This window comes from Homo sapiens, chromosome 7 (genome assembly GCF_000001405.40).
Source record: "Homo sapiens chromosome 7, GRCh38.p14 Primary Assembly".
Classification (NCBI taxonomy): Eukaryota; Metazoa; Chordata; class Mammalia; order Primates; family Hominidae; genus Homo; species Homo sapiens.
In genome coordinates this window covers 50,688,702-50,712,868 of record NC_000007.14, presented here as the reverse complement: position 1 = coordinate 50,712,868, position 24,167 = coordinate 50,688,702, and the positions used below count along the sequence as shown (strand labels likewise).

At 42.8% G+C, this 24,167-nt stretch overlaps 1 protein-coding gene across 41 annotated transcripts in view; it reads left to right on the top strand.

The window, feature by feature from the left end:
- GRB10 (growth factor receptor bound protein 10) overlaps positions 1-24,167 on the top strand; it is a 203,386-nt gene that overhangs the window by 80,585 nt on the left and 98,634 nt on the right. For 11 of the 41 annotated variants that reach the window (XM_017012061.3, XM_047420241.1, XM_017012034.2 and 8 more), the window contains one exon: positions 8,961-9,048. The exons of 12 other annotated variants lie outside the window; for them this stretch is intronic. Coding sequence is in view for 15 of the 29 variants with exons in the window: in XM_047420241.1 (XP_047276197.1) it covers positions 8,961-9,048 (88 nt within the window). In the remaining 14 variants the exon portion in view is untranslated. 18 more of the 41 variants (XM_047420243.1, XM_047420233.1, XM_047420244.1 and 15 more) reach the window with 6 other exon arrangements.

The following is a 24,167-nucleotide window of genomic DNA, read 5'->3' as shown; positions in this document are numbered from 1 at the left end:
ACTTCCAACAGATGAAATTTATGTTATGTAATTTATATCTCAATAGAGCTGTTTAAAATGTAAATGATTGATAGACTCCTCCCCTTGTGAATAACCAGAATTGATGTTTCTGTGCTGAACACTGCAGAGTGGGTGGTTAAAGTGAGGCAGCTCATGCACTACTTTTGCTTTTAATTCAAGAATGGCTGCACTTGGAGGTAGTTATGTGGAAATAAGTGCCTGAATATGGAGTACAAGCCACTGATCTGTGTGTTTTTTAGGCCGTATGATTTTAGTGAAAATGTGATCATTTTTTATGTGGTGGTATTTTCCCTGCCAGGCCAGGCATTCTTACCATTTGGGAGAAAAGTTTTTTTGTACTCTGACCAGGGCTTGCCCAGATATTTTCATGTTGGCCTCAGCAGCCTGTGTGAATACAATTGTAAGTAAAGAGCATCCCCCTTGTTCCTTGATACGAGACACCTGGCTTGCTGACTTTTCTTTTTCCCCCATCTCAGGCTTTTGGTGGAAGCAGCTCTTGTTTTTGTTTAAGGATCAGTTTGACTGAAATCTCTGCTTAAAAACCTCTTGCTTCCTTTCCTCTTGCATAGACCTAAAGTGTAATATCAAAACAGGCAGTGTCACTTTGGGTGAGAAAAATGGCTCTGGCTCATTTATTATGAAGGTTATTTCCATTTGAGGGACTAGTTTTGTACACCTTGCAACTGGCAGAATAGGAGTGCTGATACTGCAGCTTTTACCAAGTTCACTAATGTTTTAGGATTTTTTTTTTCAGCCTTTTTCAGCCTTGTGGAGTTTCTGCATGTTTTAGGAATTCTCTGAGTGACAGATTTTGTAGTTACCCATAGCTCGGTTGTTAAGGACATGTTCTCTGATTCAGCCCCAATGGGTCTCACACCCACGCTTACGAGATGTGATTCGCTGGGCAAGCTGCTGTCCTCCTTTTTCCTCATCTGTAAAGATGAGGTAGCAACAGTACCCATTAGAGACAGGATTTAAGTGGGAATGTGTGTAAACTGTCTAGCACCGTACCTGGTACCCAGGAACTATAATATTAGTAGAAACCCTGCCATTTTTACATTAATATTTAATAAAAGTATAATTACATGGCTGAGGGAGGGTAGTTGTGAAATCTGTAACTACACTGTATCTGACGGCTTGTGTGTGTTCAGAGTTCTAGAGCAGGCATATGTGCAGTTGGTAGAGAGGGTATCAGGCATTGGAAGGGAACTGATGAGCTGGGTGATGCCTCCGCTTTCAAAATGCAGGTGACACAGGTAGTCACTCTTCACTCGGCTGCAATAGCTTAATAGACTTGCGGTTTGAAACATTTTACTTCTTTAAGTGCATCCTGTGTGAAATGACAAACCCCATCCCTGTTGCAGTTCACATGTTCATCTGCAGACTCAGCGCCCTTGGGTGGACTCCAGCAATGTGCCCCACCCGTCTCAGCTGATGTCCCTGGCTGGGCAGGAGGGGTTTGGGAAACTGCCTGCAGGAAGGCCCCAGGGAGCTCTGGGACCCGGATGGTGGGTCGTGTAGGATTGCGTCTTCTCCTTTGCACCAAAAATCTGAGGGTAGCTGCAGGAGAGGGTTTCAGGGGGTGGGGGAGGGCTGGGAGAGCCCCTTTTAACTGCACCCTCAGGAGCAGTTCTCATCCACTGTTCTCATCTGTTGCTTTTTTTTTTTTTTTAATTTGGTTGGCTGTTTTTGCATACCTGTAATGTTTAAAGTTGATCCCTGTTAAGCCTGTAGGTTATGATCGGGCATTCTCCCAGGTGGAAGACATTTCGAATCCCTGTCATTCTGCTCTCTGTGGCATTGGTCTTTGTTTACCTTAGTGGAGTTATTAAGTGTGCCTTCTGTGCCGTTCTCCAGGTTCTGAAAATATTGTGCACAGGGCAGGCTGAGGACACAGCCACGTGATACCCACTGTAGAGAGAGGGAGAGAGAGACCTCCTATGCAAGCTGCCGGCCCTCTGTTCCGTAGTAAGGTCAGTGCCCGCTGTCTACCGAACACTCAGTACCTTTAGTTGCTGGGCAAGCCCTTTATTTATGTTATTTTAATTTGAACCTCAGAAGTGACCTATGAAGTGGTCGTTCTGCCTCAGGAAGGTGTGGAGATACCCCGAAGGTGAGGCAGTTGCCCTGAGTCCCAAGACTAACCAGCATGTGGGGGCCTGGGATCTGAGCCAGTGTCCAGCCTGCTGTGCAGTCCTTCCATTTGTCACCTGCAGTGCCCGCCGCACTGATGATGGCACTCCTCTCATCCAGTTTTCCCGCTGCCCCTCCATCCGTGTGTTGCAGTTTTAGATAAGAAAACTGCCTGAATCGCCCAATGAACAACATACCCTGGTTCTCTGGGGCTGGTTCCTCTTGTGCATCTTGTAGTGTTTAGTTGGTACCCAGCAGAGGCAAGAGTGCATTTGATGCTCTAGTTGAAACGGAACGCCAATGACTGGTGGTAGGGGCTGCTTCCTCGCTGTTTTGTGCCCAGGCTACCTTGTGATGCTTTTTGCTGAAGCCTGGGCTTTGAAAGGTGGGTGGTGGAGCATTCTTGTCCCTCTATCCTCACAGAGAAGCAGAGGCTTCTCTCCCCAAGATCTTGGGGTGAGGCTGGGCCATGTGCTGGGGTTGTGAGGATGAGTCAAGGAGGCCCGTTTCTGGGGAGAGGGTGGGCACCAATCCATTCACCCTTGTTACTTCCTGCTTGGAATTAAAGCAGGGCTGCTGGGTAAGGTACGAGGAGGTAGACTTTTCGTTGGGGTTGTCAGAGAAAGTGCCAAAGGGATGAGCCTTGAGGATGGGTTGATGGGGTGTGCATGGTGGATGGGGTAGAGAACATTCTACATAGTGAGCACCCAGGGCCGAGTGCTGTGAGAGGCATACAGCAGTCACTTTGGAGTCAAGGAACACCAGCTGGGTTGTGGCTCCTAGAGTGCCATGGAGGTATGAGCCACGTTACATTAGGAAGGGCAGTTCACACATAGACACCTGGGTCCCCCATCATGGGCCTGACTTAGCAGCTCTGGCTGGGGCCTGGGAGCCTGCATTTCTACCATGTTCTCCAAGGTGAGGACCAGCCACACCAGGCCACCTGGTACCCTAACAGGCATGCCCACAGTCCACAGCACAGCTCACCATTTTCTTCCTCCCACGAGTCACTTTTTATGTGTACTCTTTGAAACCTCCAGCCCTTAATCCACAGAGTGAGGGAAGTTAAGCCACCTGCCTCTGTTAGCCAGGGTCTCGGCAGTCTGCAGCAGGCACCCTCCGGAGGGCGCGGGGTGGGGGTGGGGAGCAAAAAAAAAGAGTTTAATGGAGGGGTCTGGAGAAAGCAGCTGAGTTGTGGGTCCCAGCCTGAGGCCAGCAAGGAGAGGGAGTGAGGCCAGGGGGCATTTGTGCAATCCCCAAAACGTGGCTTACGGAAGGAACAGCCCAGCTGGCCTCCCGGGCCATGTTCCTGCCTGGCCTGGCTCCCTCGGCCGCCCACCACTGGGGGCCAGAGGACCAGCTGTTGGTCGATGCAGCTCAGGCAGACTCACTGCCTGGCACAGGATGGAGGAGCAGACAGAAACCATTCTCCTCACCCACTGGAGGGCTCTGTTACAGGAGATGGCTCAGCACAGGGCCTGGGACTGGGTCACCCTAGGAGAGGGAGGGCTTCTCGTGTTCATCTTTATGAAGGTGGTGTTTCTGCCCTGATCTTGCTGGATGGGCTTGTTCTGACTTTGGCAAGTTTTTCTAAAGCATGTGGATTTGGGAAAGTTCAGCATTAGTGAAGTGACCTGTGGGACTTTAATTAAGGAGCTTGGCTGCCCTCTCCCATCCTTTCACCTTCCCCTAGAGGTAGAGAGCATAGTGATTAAGGGCTCTGAGTAAAAAGCGGACTCACAGCTGGGTACTGTGGCTCACGCCTGTAATCCCAGCACTTTGGGAGGCCAAGGCAGACGGATCACGAGGTCAGGAGATCAAGACCATCCTGGCCAACATAGTGAAACCGCATCTCTACTAAAATACAAAAAATTAGCCAGGTGTGGTGGTGCGTGCCTGTAGTCCCAGCTACTCGGGAGGCTGAGGCAGGGGAATTGCTTGAACCCAGGAGGTGGAGATTGCAGTGAGCCGAGATCACGCCACTGCACTCCAGCCTGGCGACAGAGTGAGACTCTGTCTCAAAAAAAAAAAAAAAAAAAAACAGACTCACAGGGCCTCCCCCATTCCCTTCCCAGTCCTTCCCACAATGGGCGAGGCTGGGAAACAGACACACAGACAAACAAAAACTAACCTGGAGAGGAAACCAAGCTAACACAATGATAAACCTTTTATTCTTGTCCCTGTGTTCATTACCCTGCACCTGGCAGAGCGCCACTGTTTGCCTCTGAATGGTGGGTAGACATTTGCCGCTTACCTTCCAGCTCTGTCCGGATGATCTTTAGTGCCACAGTGGCTAACTTTTTCCCTGCTGCCTTTTGTGTTTTGGCTTTATTTTACAATCACCATCATTTGTCATACCATGAAATCTTTCTTGGCTTCTCAAGACAACAGACTTCATGTCTGAAGTGTCTATCTATTGAATTAAAGAAGGTACATTTCTGTTTTGACCTTGGAATTTCATAAACAAATGAGCCACTTGTTGAAATTTTGTTCTTACTGCCATACTTTGTCATGCAGGCCTGTCAGATTTTAACAGTGTTTGAGGCATAGAGTTGCAAGATAAAATATAGTATCTCCAGTTAAATTACAGATAAGCTACAAATACATTTTAAGGATAAGTCTCATGAAATATTTGCCACATACTTATACCAAAAAATTATTAGTTATTAATCCGAAATTCAAATTTAATTGGACATCCTGTATTTGTATTTGCTAAATCTGGTGACACTGTTTAGACAAGGTTGCCTTAAATTAGGTTTGCAAGTTACTTGTCTTCTAAATAGATGTCTCAGTGGAGCCTGGTTGGCACTTAAAAGAGGAGGTCTCGGGCAAAGCAGTCATCTGACAGAGGAATGGGCCTCATACCTCACAGTGCACAGGAAGCACGCAAGGGGCTTGTTAACCTGCAGGGCCTTAGGGCTCCTTGCAGGACAGGCCTGGAGCAGGGCTGTGCAGGCCCTGGGTGATCTGGAGGCTGGTCCCACCCACCCTTTGAAATACGTGGGGTAGCATGTCTTCTGAATGTAGTCTCTCAGTGCTTGTGGGATCAACCCAATAGCAACATTTGTATTAGCAGTATGTAGTAATTATTCACATACATAGCAGTAAATATTTCAGATGAGATGTTTTAATAATTTAAGCAAACTTTGAAACTGTTTTGATGTTTGCTTGGAAGAAAATGACTAAGGAATTCATATAAAAGAAGCAAGAGGGGAAATGTTCTGCTGATGAGAAAACACGTTGGCAGGCTGTGAGAATGGAAAATGTAGGATTGCCGGCCCGGGAGCGGGCAGCTCTGTGGAACCGGTGAGGAGGTGGCTGAGAAACACTTGGATGTGTGTAAGATTATAACACGTGAGCAGGGTGACCACCTCCCAAATCAGACAAAAGGAAGGCTTGGGTGCTAAGTGGGCCTGGTAGAACTGATCAACTACTTTTGGGGGGAAGGAGTCATTGTATTTTCTCTCCTTTTACTATCCTCCAAAATAAATGTCAGGAAGAGGAAAGAGTAATACATCAAGTCAGAAGAGGAATCAGAGTAAAACACAAATGAAGGTTTTTCAGTTTTCTTGATAGAAGCTGCAAATCATTTTCACGGTTAAATGATGAGCCAAAAAGATAAGGTCAATAAACTTGACTACATTGGATTATACTTTTAAGAATCAAAAGTATAATTAAATTTAAAGACATGCAAAGTGGGAAAAACATTTGCTACAAATGTGAATGAACTTACTTGCCTACTGCGTAAAAAGCTCGTCATGGGAGAAGTGGAAGCAAGTCGGTGTTCAGTAACAGAGGGTTGGGAGGCCAGCGGGCCACCAGGGATGGGTGCTCACCCAGGGCTCAGCCTGGCTTGTTTTCCATCATAAACAGATGAGCAGATTGACTCAGAGAATCCAGGTAACTGGCCCCAAACCCTTAGCTGATGAGTATCAGGGTTGTGATTCATTCATGGACATTTTTTACTGGGAACCCCTTGTGCCCTCAGGATCTAGTCTAGCTGACCTGTTAAAGGATAGCCCAAAAGAAGAAATATAAAGGTCTAATTCGCTTATGAAAAATGTTCAACCTCAGCATTATAGACCTGCATATTAAAACCACAGGGTGGGGCCACTGCTTACCTCTGGAATTAGCCAGAAAAAAATTCCAGAAAAATAAACAGTCACTGGCTGGCTTGGGTGTTATGAAACAGGCGGTTGCCTCCACTCCGGGTAGAAGGGTGAGTGTGTGAAGAAGAGTTTGACTGTGTGTATCTAGAATCTTAAAAAAGTGCACGTGGCCTCTGGCCTAGTCCTTCTACTTCTAGGGATCCTAAGCAAATAATCAGAAATGTGGACAAAGTTTTGTGCTCGAAGGTGTTTATTTGATCATTATTTATGCTGTCTGAAAGTTGAAAACAACTACAGAGTGTCTACTAGAGTAGTCTAGAATATGAAAAAAATAGTATTTACTGAAGTTTTAAAATAGTTGAAGACAGGGACAGGAAAACACAATTATTTACACAATCTCACTTCAACAGTGTCTAGTTGTGTACAACAAAGGTGCAAAGACCACGGGAATGCTATTATCCCACTGTTGTATGATTTAGGCTAATTTTCTATCTACTCTAGGTTAGATATTTATATAAAAATTTTCTTTGCATGGATTGTTGTAAAATTCAGAAAAGAGGAAAAATATTTCAGATGCCAAAGAGCAGACTGGGTGGGAAATGTTGGCCATGGAATTGCAGAAACTAGATGGGGGATGGCTGAACTTGAGGGGCTGGGGCTGGGAGGTACCACCCTCTCAGATAGCCAGGGGAGCACAGCTCCCTCCTCAGCGCCTGTTGCGGAGGTTCTTGGGGACCTTGCCCTTTCCTCCCAGACACTGTGTGCTCCAAACTGTCTTTCCCCTCTTTCTTAGTGGAAAGCTTACATTTCCAACAACCTGTATTTTCATTAGTAGGATATTGGTGAAATGAATTACACTACACTTCTACTTGGTGGGGTACACTAGAGTGCTGATGGAGATGATTGTTGGCCTGAAAAATTTCAAAAACGATATTAAAACACAATATGTGGAAGATAATTATGATTCAGTGTTTATCAGGATCATTTGTAATCCCCATGTGACTCAAATAGAGTATGCATGTTCTCTACAAATAATTCAAACATTGCACAGATGCACATGGTAGTTTTTGTTTTTGTTATTCTGATAAAAAGAGAGGTTCCGTTTTAATTTTTTGTTCATTTTTTAGCATACAAAAATATAAATTTTTATACTTAGCAAGTTTTACATCTGCGATTAAAAAATGAAAAGAAAGCTATTTCTTTTGAAAGGGGAAAAAGAGAGAAGCTGGTGAAAATGTCTCCCTTCCTTAGGGCTTTGTTCGTTTTATTTTGTTTTCTCCAGATATTCTGGAGGAAGGTGTGAACGCAACTTTGCCTCCCAGGGAACAAACATCCTCCTTCTAAGTGGTAGATGTGGGTGAGCTGACCCTGCTGGAGTCTGTCCCCTGGGCTACCCTCTGCTTCCCCCCATTGTGAGTGGTCCGTGAAGCACAGCGTTGACCAGACCTAAACCTGTTTGCTCCCAGGTCAGTGTGCACGCAGCAGAGAAGTGAGCATCCATCCCATTTCATGCGTGAGCAAGGAGGGCTCTGGGCAGAGAAACTGCTTGCTGGGAAGCATTCAGGCAGAAATTAAGAGTCACATTCCCAAGGCCTGCTGCTTGGGCACCTTGTTGAAATCAATGTGCCTTTTGAGTTTCTTGGGCAGTTTGGGCACTGCAGAGTGGTGGGAAGGAGTGTGGACTCTGTAGTTCGAGACCCAGAACAGCCGGGACCCACTGGGTGATGAGGGTTGTGAGGGTAACTCACCTTCCCATGCCTCAGTGGCCGCCTCTGTGGCGAGAGCCCCGCTTGGCAGAGGGAGCTGTGTGTGCATGTTGGCTGTCGCCAGCACCTCGCATGTTGGATGTTTCACGTGCTTCAGTTTGCAATCTGGAAGGTCTCTTTTGCATGAATAGGAGGGAATTTGCTGAAGTCAACTATGATATTTGTGACAATGTATTAATATTAGTAGTTCTGGGGCACATCTTATACTTTTGGCACAGTTCAAACCTTTCTAATTACAGTAGTGGTACATATGCATCATAAAGATGTCAAAGATTTTTATAAATCTATAAGAGAAAACAGACATCTCTCTACCCCAAGTTAGTCACTGATAATATTTCTTTCCCCACATTTGAATGTATCTTTCATTGGCTTCTGGTCCCATGCAGGTGTGTTTCTAGAATTATGGGCTTAGGATCATAATATTGCTGTTTTACATTTTGCCTGAAAGTGTTGTTCTCACACTAATGTCTAAAAAAATGCCACTGAGCTCCTTAACATTTTGTAGAGGGAACCATTTATAAAACACTCTCTAGATGTTTCTGTCCCAGGTAATAGAACGCCCAGCACTTGATTACCTGTAGTTGTTACAGAAAATGCATGTGTTCCATGGAATGTTAATTATTTCTATTCACTGCCTAAATTGGAGCAGTTGGCAATAATTCTCTTTGAATTGCTATTCAGGGAAAGCTATTTAAGCCCAAACACAGGAGTAACTTTTAACTCCTTTGCCAAACAGCTTGCACCTTTTCATGATTAGCTTCCCTTATGCAGTCTGTTTTCAACAACTATCATTGAAAATGGAAAAAGTAAGTAAGTGGAAAGGAAGTAAGGAATTGAGGAAGAAAGGAAATGCTGGGGAAGCTGGGTGTTGAAAAGAGTGGGATGCTTCTTGTGAACTCACAGCCTTTCTGCTGCGGTCCTGTTTTTTTAGGACAAGGTGGAGCAGACACCTCGCAGTCAACAAGACCCGGCAGGACCAGGACTCCCCGCACAGTCTGACCGACTTGCGAATCACCAGGGTAAGGAATGAGCAAAACACAAGAACACTCCCAGTTCTAGCTTTGCAGCAGTGCCCAGATCTGATATTCTAAAATGTTGCTCTTGACACTAATAGATTACAATTCTAACATTGGTTCTTCTTTTCTCATTAAGGACAGTGAATTCCCAAATAGAGAAAGATCCTTGGTTCTGATATCTTCATGTATTTCCTTTCAATTAGCAAACTTCAGTGAGCAAAACTTCACGATCAGTTTCATACGAGTTATCTAGGTTTCAGCCGAAAGGCAACTTGATGTCACCTATTGAAGGGTACTCCAAGGTGAATCCTCTTGATTTTGGCATTTTTATGTTTCCAATTAAGACGGTTTTGGGTGCATGTACTCTTGGTCTTTCTCTACCTTTCTGTGATTCTGTTCCTTCTATTAATATTTAATTTCTGATGAGGTCATTGTGGGAAAGGAATGAAAGGGAACTACCTTTAGAAAATTAGACTACTTAGGAAATTAGATTGAATAAATGGAAGCTTTGCCGTAGGATGAGGAGCCTGAGGATTAAATAGAATGAAATGTGCGTGTGGCACGTTGTTTGGCTTATTGGAGAGTTTAAGTACAGTAAATCACAGGTCCTAGAGCTGGTGGGAATGTGAATATTCAGATTTTCTTAAATTACTTAATGAGAAAGGTTGACTATAAAAATAAAAGCTGGGATCTGACCATGAAGTCAAAGCAATGTTTTCTCAATTGTTAGAAGATTCATAAAAGCTGTCAAGGTTTTCTGTGGCAAGCATAATTTTGGGATCATCTTTTAGAAAACTTTGAAGTGACATGATGCGGGGAAAGGGTACCAATTTGTTAGTATTGACTTCAAAGCTTAAGAAAATTTTAACGTGTTACGTTGTATGCTCACAAGTGATCTCATTTAAATGGAAATAATGTAAGCCTTGGTGTTAATGCTTATATAAAAACTTAGGTTAATACTTGAATTAGGAAACCAGAAAAAATTACACTGAAAGAACTCTTTAAGGCTTACCTTTTATCCTTTGTCTTTAAATTGTACACTCAAATATTCTACAGATACCAAAGTAGTTCAATTAAGGGACATTTGCAGCACAGAACGTGGAGCACATTCTGTGTAGAAGAGAGCTGGTTCTCTTCCCTGATGTGGAGTTACACCGTATGCAGTTGAAACTGAGTCTTGGATGTATCCCCACACCTGAAACAGGGCTTAAAGGAATGGATGAACACGTCACTATGTTGAACCCTACCTCTGCTCCGTGACCAGAGGGTTGATACCTTTAAGCACACCCTTGACATTGGCCACCTCTCAATCATTTTACATACACATAGCATGTAAAATGGGAAAGCCAAAAGGACTCAGCCTTGCTCAGACCCAGGCATGTCCACAGAGCATTGAATAGTGCTGTCTCCTCAGGGCTGTGGCTCCCAAAGCGGCATGGGTGCTGCTGGCCTAGGTCCTAGGGAATACAAAGGGCTGCGCTTTCCCTTCTCCGGCAGTGACTGGGGAAGCAGGGCCAGAGCCAGGCCCACCGTATCCAGCCGAGAGCTGTGGTGGGGCTCCCCTCTTTTCAAAAGATGCTGGAAAAGGGCCGTTGCCTGGGAGGAATTGTAGTGCATGTGAACTCATGGCCAGGCAGCCAGACAGAGTGGATGCAGCCCTGCAGCCAGAGCTAACCCAAGCAGCCTCCCAGTGCAGTGACGCAGACTGCAACCTTGCAGTCTTCCATGAGGCAGCAGCTCCAGACTGTCCCGACTTGACCACTCAGTGGGGAGGGGGAGGCAGGAAAAGAAAAACAAAACAATCCACAAACCAGCATTCCAAAAGCACATGAAGCAGTCCCATACTAAGAAATATGGTATAGCTAACAAAACCAAGAGATTACCAATTTAGCCTATATGCAACAAAAAAAAGTGTGACCATGGCTTTGAAATATGTGTTTATAATGCTCAGACAGATGCATGAAAGAATAATGTCTGTAAGACAAGGCAAGAAACTATGAAACACAACAAGACAAAATGAGGCAAGACTTGGGCACCCTGGGCAATGCCTGAAGGCAATGCAGTGTACTCCCAAGTGCAGGATGCAGGGGGAAGGATAACCATCCATCTACAATGTTATGCCAACATATCACTGACTAGGGAAGGCCAAATAAAGCTTTCTCAGGCAAAGATTGAGAAAAAAATGTGTCACTGGTAGTCTTCACCAAACGAATGATTATTATTTTATTTTTATTTTTTAAGAGACCAAGTTTTGCTCTCTCACCCAGGCCGGAGAGCAGCTCGTAGCTCACTGCAGCCTTGAACTCCTAGACTCAAGTGATCCTCCAGCCTCAGCCTCCCGAGTACCTGGGACTACAGGTGTGCGCCACTACTCCCAGCTAGTTTTAAAAATTTTGTAGAGATAGGTCCTTGCTAGGCTTCCCAGGCTTGTCTCGAACTCCCCAAGCTATCCTCCCATGTCGACCACTGGAAGTGCTTGGTTTACATGTGTGAGCTGCAGTGCCTGGCCTAGAAGAATGATGAAAAGTACTTCTTGAGGAAGACGGAATGTGGATACTAGGGAAACAGGGCACATATGGGAAAATAATATGTGATGAATAATCAATTGTGTATTTAAAAATATTAGGTGCGTCTAAAGTATTGACTGTAATTACTAAAAGAATGTGCATATAATCTATAGTTCCCAACCTAGCAGAAAAAGATATAAGGGAATATATATGAAAAACACAACAACAATCAAACAACATCAAGTAGAAAACGGAAGAAAAAACAAGATGTGAAGAGAAAAAAGATATTAAACAAAATACAAAATAAGATAGTAGGAGTAATTCCAAGTCAATTCGTGATAGTGTTAACAAACTCAAGTTAATAGACACACATAGCTCCCTCTACCCAACAGACAGAGACTCTTGATTCTTTTCTAAAACCTGTGTAACTTTTTGAAAAGTTGACGGTATATAGAAAGTTGCACTGAATTTTAAGCAATCTATTTCATGCTTGTTCTTTGACCCAGTGTGAATAAATCAGACGTCAACATAAAAAGTTGAAAACAAATCACATAAACATGCATGAGGAAACTTTAAAACACACCCACTCTTATTTTACTTATGAGTTAGAGAGGAAATTGCAATGGAAATATCGATCATTTAGAACTGAATGAAAGTGAACATAGTACAGGTGGAAAGTCATACAATGCTGCAAAGGTGGTAAGGCTAACTTTCTAAGCTTCAAAAAAAGAAAAATTGAAATTACAGAAATGAAATAGAATAAGGAATGTAGAAGGAATTAATTATAAAAATTAAAGTCAGAAATTGTTGAAACAGAGTACCAATAGGAACAAAATCAAACACCAGTCTTTGGTAAAAACGACCATAACAGCAAACCTGTAGCACAGACACTCAGGAGGGCAAAAGGTGCCCAAGAAAATCATGGTAAGAGCACGTTAGCAAGTTTTAAAAACAGCATCAAGAAAACTGTGAACGAAAAAATGGAAATCTGGGGGAAGATAGATGATTTATTGCAAAAATGTAAAAACAAAATAGACTCTTGAAGAAATATAAAATCGTAATAGAGAAACAGCTCTGGAAGAAATTGTAATCAATACTATACCTTCAAAAATACTCAAGTGGTTTGCAGATGAGTGATATTAAACTTTCAAGAAAGAAACAATTTCTCTTTTTTTTTTGAGATGGAGTCTCGCTCTGTCATCCAGGCTGGAGTGCAGTGGTGAGATCTCGGCTCACTGCAATCTCTGCCACCTGGGTTCGTGCCATTCTCCTGCCTCAGCCTCCCGAGTAGCTGGGACTACAGGTGCCCGCCACCACGCCCGGCTAATTTTTTTTGGTATTTTTTAGTAGAGACAGGGTTTCACTATGTTAGGTAGGATGGTCTCGATCTCCTGACCTCGTGATCTGCCCGCCTCGGCCTCCCAAAGTGTTGGGATTACAGGCATGAGCCACCGCGCCTGGCCCCAACAATTTCTCTTTTTAAACATGCTAAGAGTGTGTACACTCTTAAACACAGAGGACAACAGCTTACACAGAGGACGAGATCTCCAATTCATACCATGTTTGTGTATCTTTGAAACAGTACAAGAAATCAAAATTATAATACCGTTTTACATGTTAACATAGAACAAAAGGTCTAAGTAAAACACTAATGAACCAAATTCAGTACCTTATTTTAAGTGAAATGTAAATGAAACAAATGTTATGACCAAGTTGGTTTTATTATAATAGTGCAGGGGTGGTTTACTATCATAAAACAGTGAACACACTGAATATGTCAGAATTAAAGGGAAAAAAATAATCATTTCACCTGGCAGAAGAGTATTTAATACAACTCTTCACTCATTATAATACATAACAAATAATAACAAAATTTGTACTCAACTAGTACTGAAAAGAAACCTCCTTAACTTGTTAAAATTCATTTGTTAAAAACCTACAACATTGCATCATACATAATGGAAAACTGTTAGAGTCATGTTCATGAACATCTAGAATTAGACAGCAGTGCCTGCTGTCACTGGAGGTCTTAGTGTAATAAAAGAAGCAAATGAAGAAACTAAAATGTAAACATTAGAAAGGAAGACTGAAATATGTGTCTTTTTGCAAATAATTATTCAAATAGAAAATTTACACAGATATGTTAGCACTTTTAAAATGAGCAAGAATTCTCTAAGCAGATATAATGTGAGATCAACATGTAAAATGGAATAGTACTCCTGTATGCCAAGAAAAAACAATTGGGAAATGTAATATAAAAAGAAATCCCACTTATAATATTAACAAAAATTATAAGCTATCTAGGAGTATATTCAGGAAGATTACCAGGCATTATAGGATGTTTCAGAGCATGAAAACAACCTGAGTAAGTGGAGAGCTATATTATGATCATGGATCAGGAGACAGAATATAGTGCAGATGTCACATTTTCTCAAGTTTATCTTTAAATTTAATACAGTTGCAGCCAAATTCTTAACAGTTTTGTCACATGTGACTTGAAAAATGTTTCCTAACTTTAATAAGAAAGAGTGAAACTCAAGAATTTGAAGACAAATTTGAAAAACAACAAGGCGTTTGGAGGATTGATTTGCACTATCAGATAGCAATCCCTCTTATGTGGTATCACAACTAAGAAAGGATGTTGTTAGTTCAAGGCCAGACAAATAGACCAAAGGACCAGAATAGATATCCCATAAGGAGACCCACACATTTATGGAAACATACAGCACAGTGAAATCACGGCAGAACAGAGATTACAGGAACCATGACTGTTCACATGGGGTGGCAAGGAATGGAACCCTGCTGCGTATTCTACACAATAATTGGTTTCAGGCCAATTAAATAATTAAAAGTGAAAGAACAAAATGCCTTTTATTTGTTTGAATGACAAGAATTAATGAATAGTGAGAATCTTTATTCTCTTAGGCTAAGAAAGACTTTTGTGAATAAGACTTAGCACAACCATAAAGGGAAAATGGTAAATTTGACTGTATTACCATTACATATTTCTATGTAGACGTTACAGATGATATTTAACATGCTGAAAGGCGCACTTCAGCCTGGGAGAATAATTTGTAACTTCTTGCATGTACATACAAAAATGCATGTAACATGCAGAGTATTAGTATCCTGTTTATGTAAAAAAAATCCTATAAATAAAATAAGATAAACAATTACATAGAAAAACTGGCAAAGAACATGAGCAGGCAGTTTACAAAAAAGGAAAGCATGATGTGTTTGTGTCTGATTCTGGATACTCATTTCACAAGAAAAATGGAAACCAACTGAGCTGGAAATCAAGGAAGCCTGTGCTCTGAGGGCTGTTAGATGGAACAGAAAGACACAGATCCTTCTTTTAAGTGGGTCCAAGTGCAGAGTGTTCATCCTCCCTCTTGGCGTGTTCACAGCCCTGTGAGTCTGTGCAGAATGGACCTGGGGCTTGCAGCTCCCTGGCACTGGGTACAAAGGCTCCTTCCCTCCCTGGGGTGGGGTGGGGGTGGTTCAGCCCACAGCACAGCCTACAGGAGTCAGTGCCTTCCCTTTCCCATCTCTGTGCCTGACACCAAGTTCAACTTTGGGGATTCTTTTTAACGAGATGCTTTGGGACCTATGACCAAATCTAACAAACATACAGTGCGGTTCTTTCCTGCTTCCTTAATTTTCGAGGCATAATCAGATGCTGCCATCATAGGCTGTAGCTTTACATGGTATGTTTGATCCAGAGTGGCCTGGATCCTTGCATGGAACCTGATGTTTAGAATAAAAGATTAGCTGTGACTTTCCTTGACCTGTTACTGCTATCTGGCAAAGAGGATTTATTGCTCCTGTTTTATTACCTTGTTCCTAACTAATGTAAGCAGCTTATTTTTGTGTGACAGTTGCTAAAAATGCATCCCACATTTCTTAGCAGCACACAGCAGAGAGGGATGTACTTTTCTTTGAAAGGGGGTGGTTTTGCAATAGCTGGAATTACTTTTGACGATTTTGAAAAAACCTTTCTTTATTAAAAATATATAAAACAAAATTAACCATTTTAGTCGTTTGTATAAGTGTACATTAAGTGGCATTGGTCATGTGAACAGTGTTGTGCAACCATCACCATTTATCTGTTTCCAAAACTCTTATCACCCCAAACAGAAACTCTGTACCCATTAAGCAATAATTCTCCCCAGTCCCTGGTAACCTCTAATCTACTTCCTGTCACTTGATTTGCCTGTTCTTAGTACCTCATGTAAGTGGGACCATACACTATTTGTCCTTTTGTAACTGGCTTCGCTCAGCATGTCTTCAGGGTTCACCCATGTTGTAGCATGTGCCAGAATTTCCTTCCTTTTGAAGGCCAAATAATATTCCATTGTGTGGATGGACCACATTTTATTTTTCCATCATCTGTTGAGGGAGGGACACTTGGGTTGCCTCCACCTTGTGGCTGTTGGGAATAGTGCTGCTGTGAACATTGACATACAAGGGTCTGAGTTCCTGCTTTCAAATCCTTGGGGTATGTATCTAGAAGTGGAATTGCTGGATTGTAGGGTAATGCTATATTTAGTTTTTTCCTTAACAATATTTTTGAGATGTGAAGTTTTATTTTTAGAAGTTTGGCCTCTCAGTTTTAGGCAAATTTTGTCTGATTGTTGTTACTGCTCATAACCCAAGCAGAGATTCCTGGCCATGCCTCTCACCAGGAACCCAATTGAGTAAAGATGCCCAAAGGGTTGAAAAAGAGATGTTGAAGTCTGTGTACAAAAGCAGATAGAGTTGACTCTGTAGAGAGCTCCCAAAGGCTCATGAGCTTAGTGGGCCGTGTGGTGCAGTGGTAACAGCCTGAGAGGCTGCCAGTGAGTGCTGGTTTCATTTGAAACTCTGCTGTCTTGTGTACTGAGCCTCAGTTTCCTTGTCTATAACATGGGACAACAGTGCCTTCTTTGTGAAGTTGTTGTGAGAACTGGAAAGAGGCGTCTGTAAAGCACAGGATATCATGTCTGCCATGGTGTGCCCTCTTTAAGAAGTAACTCTTGCTGGTGAGTGCGAAGAAGTGGGTCTAATTCTGGAAGGCGGTTTGCTACTGTCTAACAAAAGCCTTGCAAAGGTCATACATTTAAACCCATCAATTCCAGGAATTTATTTCAATGACGTGTGCATGTGTGTGCATGTATATCCATTTCAATTCAATCAATAGCATATTCCCCTAGAATAAAGGAAATAGGGAAAGACAAGACTGATCAGATAAACATTACATACACTGATGATAGACTATTATTCTGTCTTAAAATATGTTAAATATCTAGTAATTTGAGAAGATGCTCAGATTTACTGAGTGAAAAAAACAGGGAAACAGGTTACGGTACTGTATGGTCCCAATTTTGTAGAAAGAGAAAATAAGAGCACAATATATGTTTTATATAATGATGTTTAATTTGGGTGGTGGGATTATGGGTGATTTTTATTCACCTTGTAATATTGTGCATTTAAAAATTTTGAACAAATGTAACAATTTTTCATAATGAAAATAAAAATATAATTACTATTATTTTTCATTTTATTTAAAAATACAATGACAGAACTTTGAATGTTTATTATCTAAACCTATAGCAGACAGGAAGGAACAAAAGACCCTGGAAATTCCTGTAAGTTCACCTCAGTAAGAGTTGGTTTTGGCAGCGGTATAGTATTGGAAGAGAGAGGCCAGCAAAAGGAGCCATTAGAACTCACGGAGTCCAGCAGGGTAAGTCCATTTACCTAGGAGCAAATAGCATTACACCTCATTAGCCCAGTGGACATCAATCATGCTCAGAGAGAGGACTGAAGTCAGTAAAGGTTGCGTTATATTCTTTGCCCCTGCTTAAGAAAGAAAGCAGCCAAGAGGATGACGTACGACATGTACAAGAGGGAAAATGAAAATAGGTCCTCTTGCTGGAAGGTGTGTTACTCTCACTCCCTAGAAAACTTACTGATCCAGGATAATGCCTTCCTCAAAGGTTTTGCAGTTGTCAAGAGATAGGGTGTTTTGCTATCAGTAATGTGTGGTTTTGATGTTGATACATCAGTCTGGAGCAATTTGTGGCACCACTAGTTGGAAAATGAATAGATGATGAGTTTGAAATTTGAGGAAGTTGACTTATTTCACTCTGAGTATTTTTCTTGATTTATTTCCCAAGAATATTTGTAGATCTTTGAGGACGAGGCAGTGTGTAGGCAGTGGGGAGAAGTCATGGTCTGAGCAGGTGGTGGGGGACACATCCAGTGGATCATACCCTGGGAGGATGCAGAGGTGTGTCCCAGGCACGGGGAGGGAGAGAGCCTAAAGCTCTCAGGATCTGGGGGCTTCCTAATAGCAGAGAGGTTAGGAGCTGAGAGAGGGAAGGAAGACATTCATTGTCAAGTTTTTAGAGATTGACAGTCTATCTGCTATCATGGCATTCCTCTTGGGGTGAGAAATGTGTTTTTGTTATTGGCTTATTTGCAGTTTCTCAATGTACCTATAATGTAGTTATTCTTACAATGGAAAAAAAGTAATATAAATTAAATATTTGAAATGAATGATTGTGCCATTACAGTGTACTCACCAAACTGCAGAATTTTCCTACTAACAGGTGCTCTGAGACCCCTGAGTTCAGTGCTTGGGGGAGTCTGAGGTCTCATCCCCAGGAAGACAGGCTTCAGTAATCAGTGCCAGCCTGTGGGTAGGTGAGGGATGAGTGGCTGCACACACCACAGATTCTTCATCCTGTGAGATCTCACCTAGCCTAGTTTGGGTGGAGACAGGATCTGAGAATTTAAGTTATTGGCCAGAGTCATTCAAGGTCATTCACTCTATTGAGAGATCCACTCTATGAGAGTTTGGCAGAGAGCCCAAAACTCATTTTTAGCATGTCCTTAGTCCCCTCAAATACCCCGTCACAAATCGACCCTAGCCCCCTACTCTTGTATTGGTATCAGTGGCCTCGTGATGGATTGCAGAGTTTCTGATTTTGGTGGTGTGTGTTTGTTTTTGAGACAGAGTCTCGCTCTGACACCCAGGCTAGAGTGCAGTGGCACTATCTTGGATCACTGCAACCTCCACCTCCCAGGTTCAAGCAATTCTTGTGCCTCAGCCTCCCAAGTAGCTGAGATTACAGACATGTGCCATGACACCTGGCTAATTTTTGTATTTTGGGTAGAAACGGGGTTTCGCCATGTTGGCCAGGCTGGTCTTGAATTCCTTACTTTGGGTGATCTGTCCGTGCTGGGATTACAGGCATGAGCCAGGATTGCAGAGTTTCTGACCACAGACGAAGTGGTCCCACCCACCCACTTCCCTCTATTCTCCATAACAGAAGCATTGCAGAGTCTCTGCCCAGCTTTTTTTGTCTTCTGCTTGGCCAGAGACACTTTGTTGCTCCAGCTGGCTTCTCTTCTTTGCTGACTGCAACTGCTTGGGTCTCCCTTTCTCCTTGCTGGTGTGGTTGCTTTAGCCTTGTGGGCAGGGCAGGCTATGGTCCTGCCTGAAAGTGGAGACTGCTCTTCCAGCCTCTGTGCCTTCTGTGTCTGTCTCCTCTGCATCGTGTGTACCTCGGGCGCCCCAATCCCATGCCTGCAAAGCACACACATTCATCATGCCTTTGTTCCGTCTGGAGAACAGGGCTGTGTGTGTGATTGTCGTAGTAAAGCCTCCTGAGCTGGAATCAAAACATTTTCCTTGATTGCTGGAGTCATAACCCAGGAAGTGTAAGTAGTTCATTCTCTCAGTTGGAGACATCCTACACAAACACTTAACTCCTGACTTGAGGAATGTCTTTCAGGCTCTGGAGTTCAGGGGTCCTCTCCAACCCATTACGGCTGTTTTCTGACTTTAGTTTCTTTAGCTTCTTTTCTTGGTTTTCTTTAAGCCAGAAATACTGGTTATAGGCATGCAGCTTTAATTTGTAGCAATGTATTTGGTGCAATGCTTTCCTTTCTAGTAACAGGGGAAGTGTAGAAAAAAGATTGGAGAATGGACTATTTCAGAAGCACCAATTTCTTAGTGGAGAGACTGTCAAGAGGAAAAGACCAAAATTAGAAAAGAATGCCAATTATTAGAGAAGGTAAAATAGATCAAGAAAAAATTTTGTTTTTTTTCCTCCAAGAAGCCATTCTTAGCAACATTAGGTGCCGAGGGACATAGCCTGGCTTTGGGCTGGCTGTTTTTCTGTCTTTTAGTCTCTTCCAGCAATGCTCTTTGACTGGGGGTAAGTTAGGAATCACTTTGCACTTTAGATTCTTCGTTTGCATGTACCCATCATGCATAATTATTGGCAAAAATAATGATGCTGATGATGACTTTGAGGCCTGTGCTAGAACCTCCCTGCATGTCTTATCTTCCTCATCAGAGCTACAGATGGGAAAACTGAGGCTGAGAGGTTTGATAACTTGCCCAGAAGTCACAGACAGGTGTTAACTCAGTGGTGGGATGGGAATCAAAGCCAAAGTCCATCTCAGGTTTTAATTTAGAGGAGCCACCCTGCACACACCTATATGTATAAGCTGCCTGTTGCGAGCATTATTTTATATATTGTATTTTTCCCTTTCTCCCTAGATCATAGATTTGTTGAGGGCAGTACACATGTCTTTCTTACTGTGACATATATACTGCCTGGTATATACCACAAGGTTCTACTATACTGCCTGGTCTGAAGTCATACTTCATAGATATTTAATGAATTCCTGAACTCACATGCAATTAATAGACTTGTGGACTCCAGAAAGGTCCTGAGCCCCTGCCTCTCCCCTTCTTGTGGGAAGTCCTGGTTACTCTAGGCAAGCAAAGGTAGAAACCGGTCCCTAGCGCCCTGTCTTCCTGCTGTGCCTTGCCATTCATGAGATATCGGCAGCAGTTTGGATGAGGGCATGATTGATGAGAGAACAGGAACTCAAGCAGGAAGACAGCATATTGTGTCATGATTCCTCTAATGTCCTCTTATCTAGTTCATCTTTTACTATGTTATCCACAAAAAATCTTGAAGATTTTATTCATTATATATATATGTGTGCGTGTGTGTGTGTGTGTGTACACAGTTGTCCCTTGATATCTGCAGGAACCTCCTGCAAATGCCAAAATCCAAGGATGCTCAAGGCCCTGATGTAAAATGGCATAGTATTTGCGTATAACCTACACATTTTCTCCCCTATACTTTAAATCATCTCTAGATTACTTATAATACTTAATGCAATGTAAATGCTGTGGAAATAGTTGTTACACTGAATTATTTGGAGAATAATGACAAGAGAAAAGTCTGTACATGTGCAAGTACACTCTGTTTTTCTTAATATTTTCAATCTTCAATTGGTTAAATCTGTGGATATGGGGGGCTAACTGTATCTGTGCAGAAGTAACTTTTGTTAGTATCATTTTCTCATGGTGAAACTGTGCTATTTCCAGGGGTAACTTTCTTTTTCTGAAACGCTCAGCATAGTCCTGAAAAGTAGTGAATGTTGGTCTCCGGTTGCACACTGATGCCAAAGTTGATGATAATTGTGATTTCTGTGACTGCCCCCACCCCAGACACTAAATACCTTCTATTCGGGTTGAGATGCAGAAAAGCTAGGAGAAAAATCATCTATAATCCTTTTCCCACAAAATAACTAATGCCCATATTTTATTTCTGCCTTATGGAAATGGAGTCATGCCACACCAAATAATAGCATTTGTACATGTCATTAATGATTATTCTGCAACCTACAGTTAAATTATGATAGTATAGTTTATTAGATATGTCATGATTTCTTACCTTCATCTCTGTTTCTTACATGTTTAAGTGACTTCTCCAGCTATAGTAGTAGGTTCCTAACCTATTAAGAACTTATGCTTCGTATTTTAACCCATTGAATCTACCTATCCTATGAGGTAGGCACAATTATTATCTCCATATTTATAGGGAAACTGAGGAAACTGAAGCCAGAAGTAGGGGAGTTGCCCAGATCACAGCCCTTGAGAGTGGCAGAGCTGGGATTTGAACCCAGACTGGTGGGCTCTGGCCTCTAAGCATTTCATCCCTCTACTATTCTGCTTCTAGATTAGCCCTCCTTCCTTATCCAAGTCCACCAGTATTTTCTTTCTTTTTGATTCCTCGATCGTTCAGTGGCTCAAACCAAGATTTCAACTGTAGGGATTGAGTTTTCCTTGGCCTTGAAAGCAGTAGATCGAATCCCTACAGTTGCCCCCGCTGCCTGGGACAGTGGTTTCCCTTTAATTGTGCTTATTCCTTCCTTTCCACTTTGAAGATCATTTGTCTTAATAAGGAAGATAGGAACAAAAAAGGCATTGAGGAGCCTGTGTTCTCTTTGTTTTGCCCCAGTGTGTTAGGCAAGCAGCAGACCTCTCCCTCCTGGTCCTTATTTGGAGCAGAACTGAAAAAGCCATTGTCATCCTTTGTAATTTTTCAAATCTCAGCTATTCTGGGCCTTCGCCTTCCCCATGCTCTGACAGTTCACGCCACTCTTTTGTCTGGTCCCCTTTGGCAGATAATTGGACTCCATTAATGTTTCATGTTTCCTTTAGCTGTCAGGATGCTTGCAGCTCAATAGAGGGCTTTATCCCAGCAACTCTTTCTGTTCCCCTGGTGTGTTTGCTTTTCATCCCGTTGCTCCGCAGTTTCCCTGTGTCTTTCATTCATTCGTTCATTCGTTCATTCATTTGTGAAACAAGTATCGGTTGCTCGTGTAGGCGATAGGAGGCCTGGGGCCCAGGCCCAGGGGATGCAGTGGTGAGCAGTGAGTCATTTCTGATTTAATGATCCACAACATATGGACCGTTTCCGTCCAAGGAAGTGCAAATCCTTTTTCGAAGTAGCAGAGTACAACTTAGAAAGAAATAATTCTTTCATTTCATTAAGATCAGTGATGAAAGAATACTTTTAAATTTCCCCTAGGTAGAAATGAGAATATTCTGTCTCCTAAAATCCAATGTCTGTATTATATTTTTCCACTATATTGTACTTTGCCTAAATTAACCTTTTTTTCTTTTTTTTCTGTTTTTTTTGTTTGTTTGTTTGTTTGTTTGTTTGAGACAGAGTTTCGCTCTTGTTGCCCAGGCTGGAGTGCAGTGGCACGATCTTGACTCATCGCAACCTCCACCTCCCGGGTTCAAGCGATTCTCCTGCCTCAGCCTCCTGAGCAGCTGGGACTACAAGCATGCACCACCACGCCCAGCTAATTTTGTACTTTTAGTAGAGATGGGGTATCTCCATGTTGGTCAGGCTGGTCTCAGACTCCTGACCTCAGGTGATCCTCCCGTCTTGGCCTCCCAAAGTGCTGGGATTACAGGCGTGAGCCACCGCGCCCAGCCTTTTCTTTTTTTTTTTTTCCTTTTTAACCACAATTAACCAGTACTAATCAGCCAGAGTCTAGTCATTCCAGATAAGTAGAATGCTTCCTTATTTTGGCATGAGTTATCTTTCTTATACAATTTTAAACTCTATCCCCAAAGGAAGATGTCAAACTAGAGAATTTCAGTTAGATTACAAGTAAAAAATAAAAAAAAAAACCCTCTGTCATTTGCTACAGAATGTACTAGTATTGCCTTCAGAAGCAATTTAGCAAGGTTTCCAATATCACTTTTGTTAACATGGCTAATATTATATTCCCCACTATGAATTAATCCCATCTTTAAGGAGGTCCTCAAAAATGTTAGTTTCTTACCCATGGGTAGACACTGTGTGCACATTTGCAGTCAATCCTTACAGTGATCCTCTGAGGAGCAGACATTTCAGTGGTGTTTAATGCTTGGTGTTCGAGGGCGCCCCGAGACTCAGCAAGTGTTGGAGCCAGGAGCCTGCCTTGTGGTCCCCCCATCCCCAGCTATTTCCCTTACAACCTGCATGGACTGGCCACTTAACCCCTTCAACTTTGGATTCAGCCTGACCAAGAAAGTCTTTCACGATAGTCCTGAGTTGTTCAAAGAGTGAGGGGGCAATGACAAGAGGAAGTTAGTGCCCAGCCATTAACCTTCCCATCTTTGTGGATATATTTTTAAATGCACTGAAAAATAATTGCAGCAGGCTTCTAATCTACTTGCATACCAAATGGCTGAAAGTACCTTTGCATAACTAGTGTGCTTCCTCTTGGGGACTCAGCACCCTGAATGGGGACTCCCTGCAGCACCCCAGCTACTGATGGGGGGGATCAGCTAGATTTCTGCATCATGGCAAAATGGTTTCCCCACCTTGGAGCGGACGGGGCACTCCCAGTGACTCTAGACTGTCATTACTGAGGCTAATCCACTGTGGGTATTTGAAGCAGGGAGTGGTTTCGGAGAGAGATGAAGGCAAATTGTCTGGTTGGACTCTTCCTGGCCTCCACCCTCCAGCAGGAGCAGGCTCTGTGCATGGCCAGCTCTCCTTGGTTGGGAGTACTTCCTGTCACAGACTCACAGTATGCCCCTGATAACCTCCACCCCTACTTCTGGTGCACTCTGCAGTGACCTGGAATCCATCTTTCCCTGTTCATGTGCTTGCCGACAGTTCGGTTTCTCCCAGGTCTCACTCAACATCTGCTCCACCTCTGCCCCCCCTCACCCACCCGACCCCCACCCTTGTCACTCACTGCCTGCCTCTGCACCTTCTGGCCATTCTGTGTGGTTGTCAGATTTTTTTTTTTTAA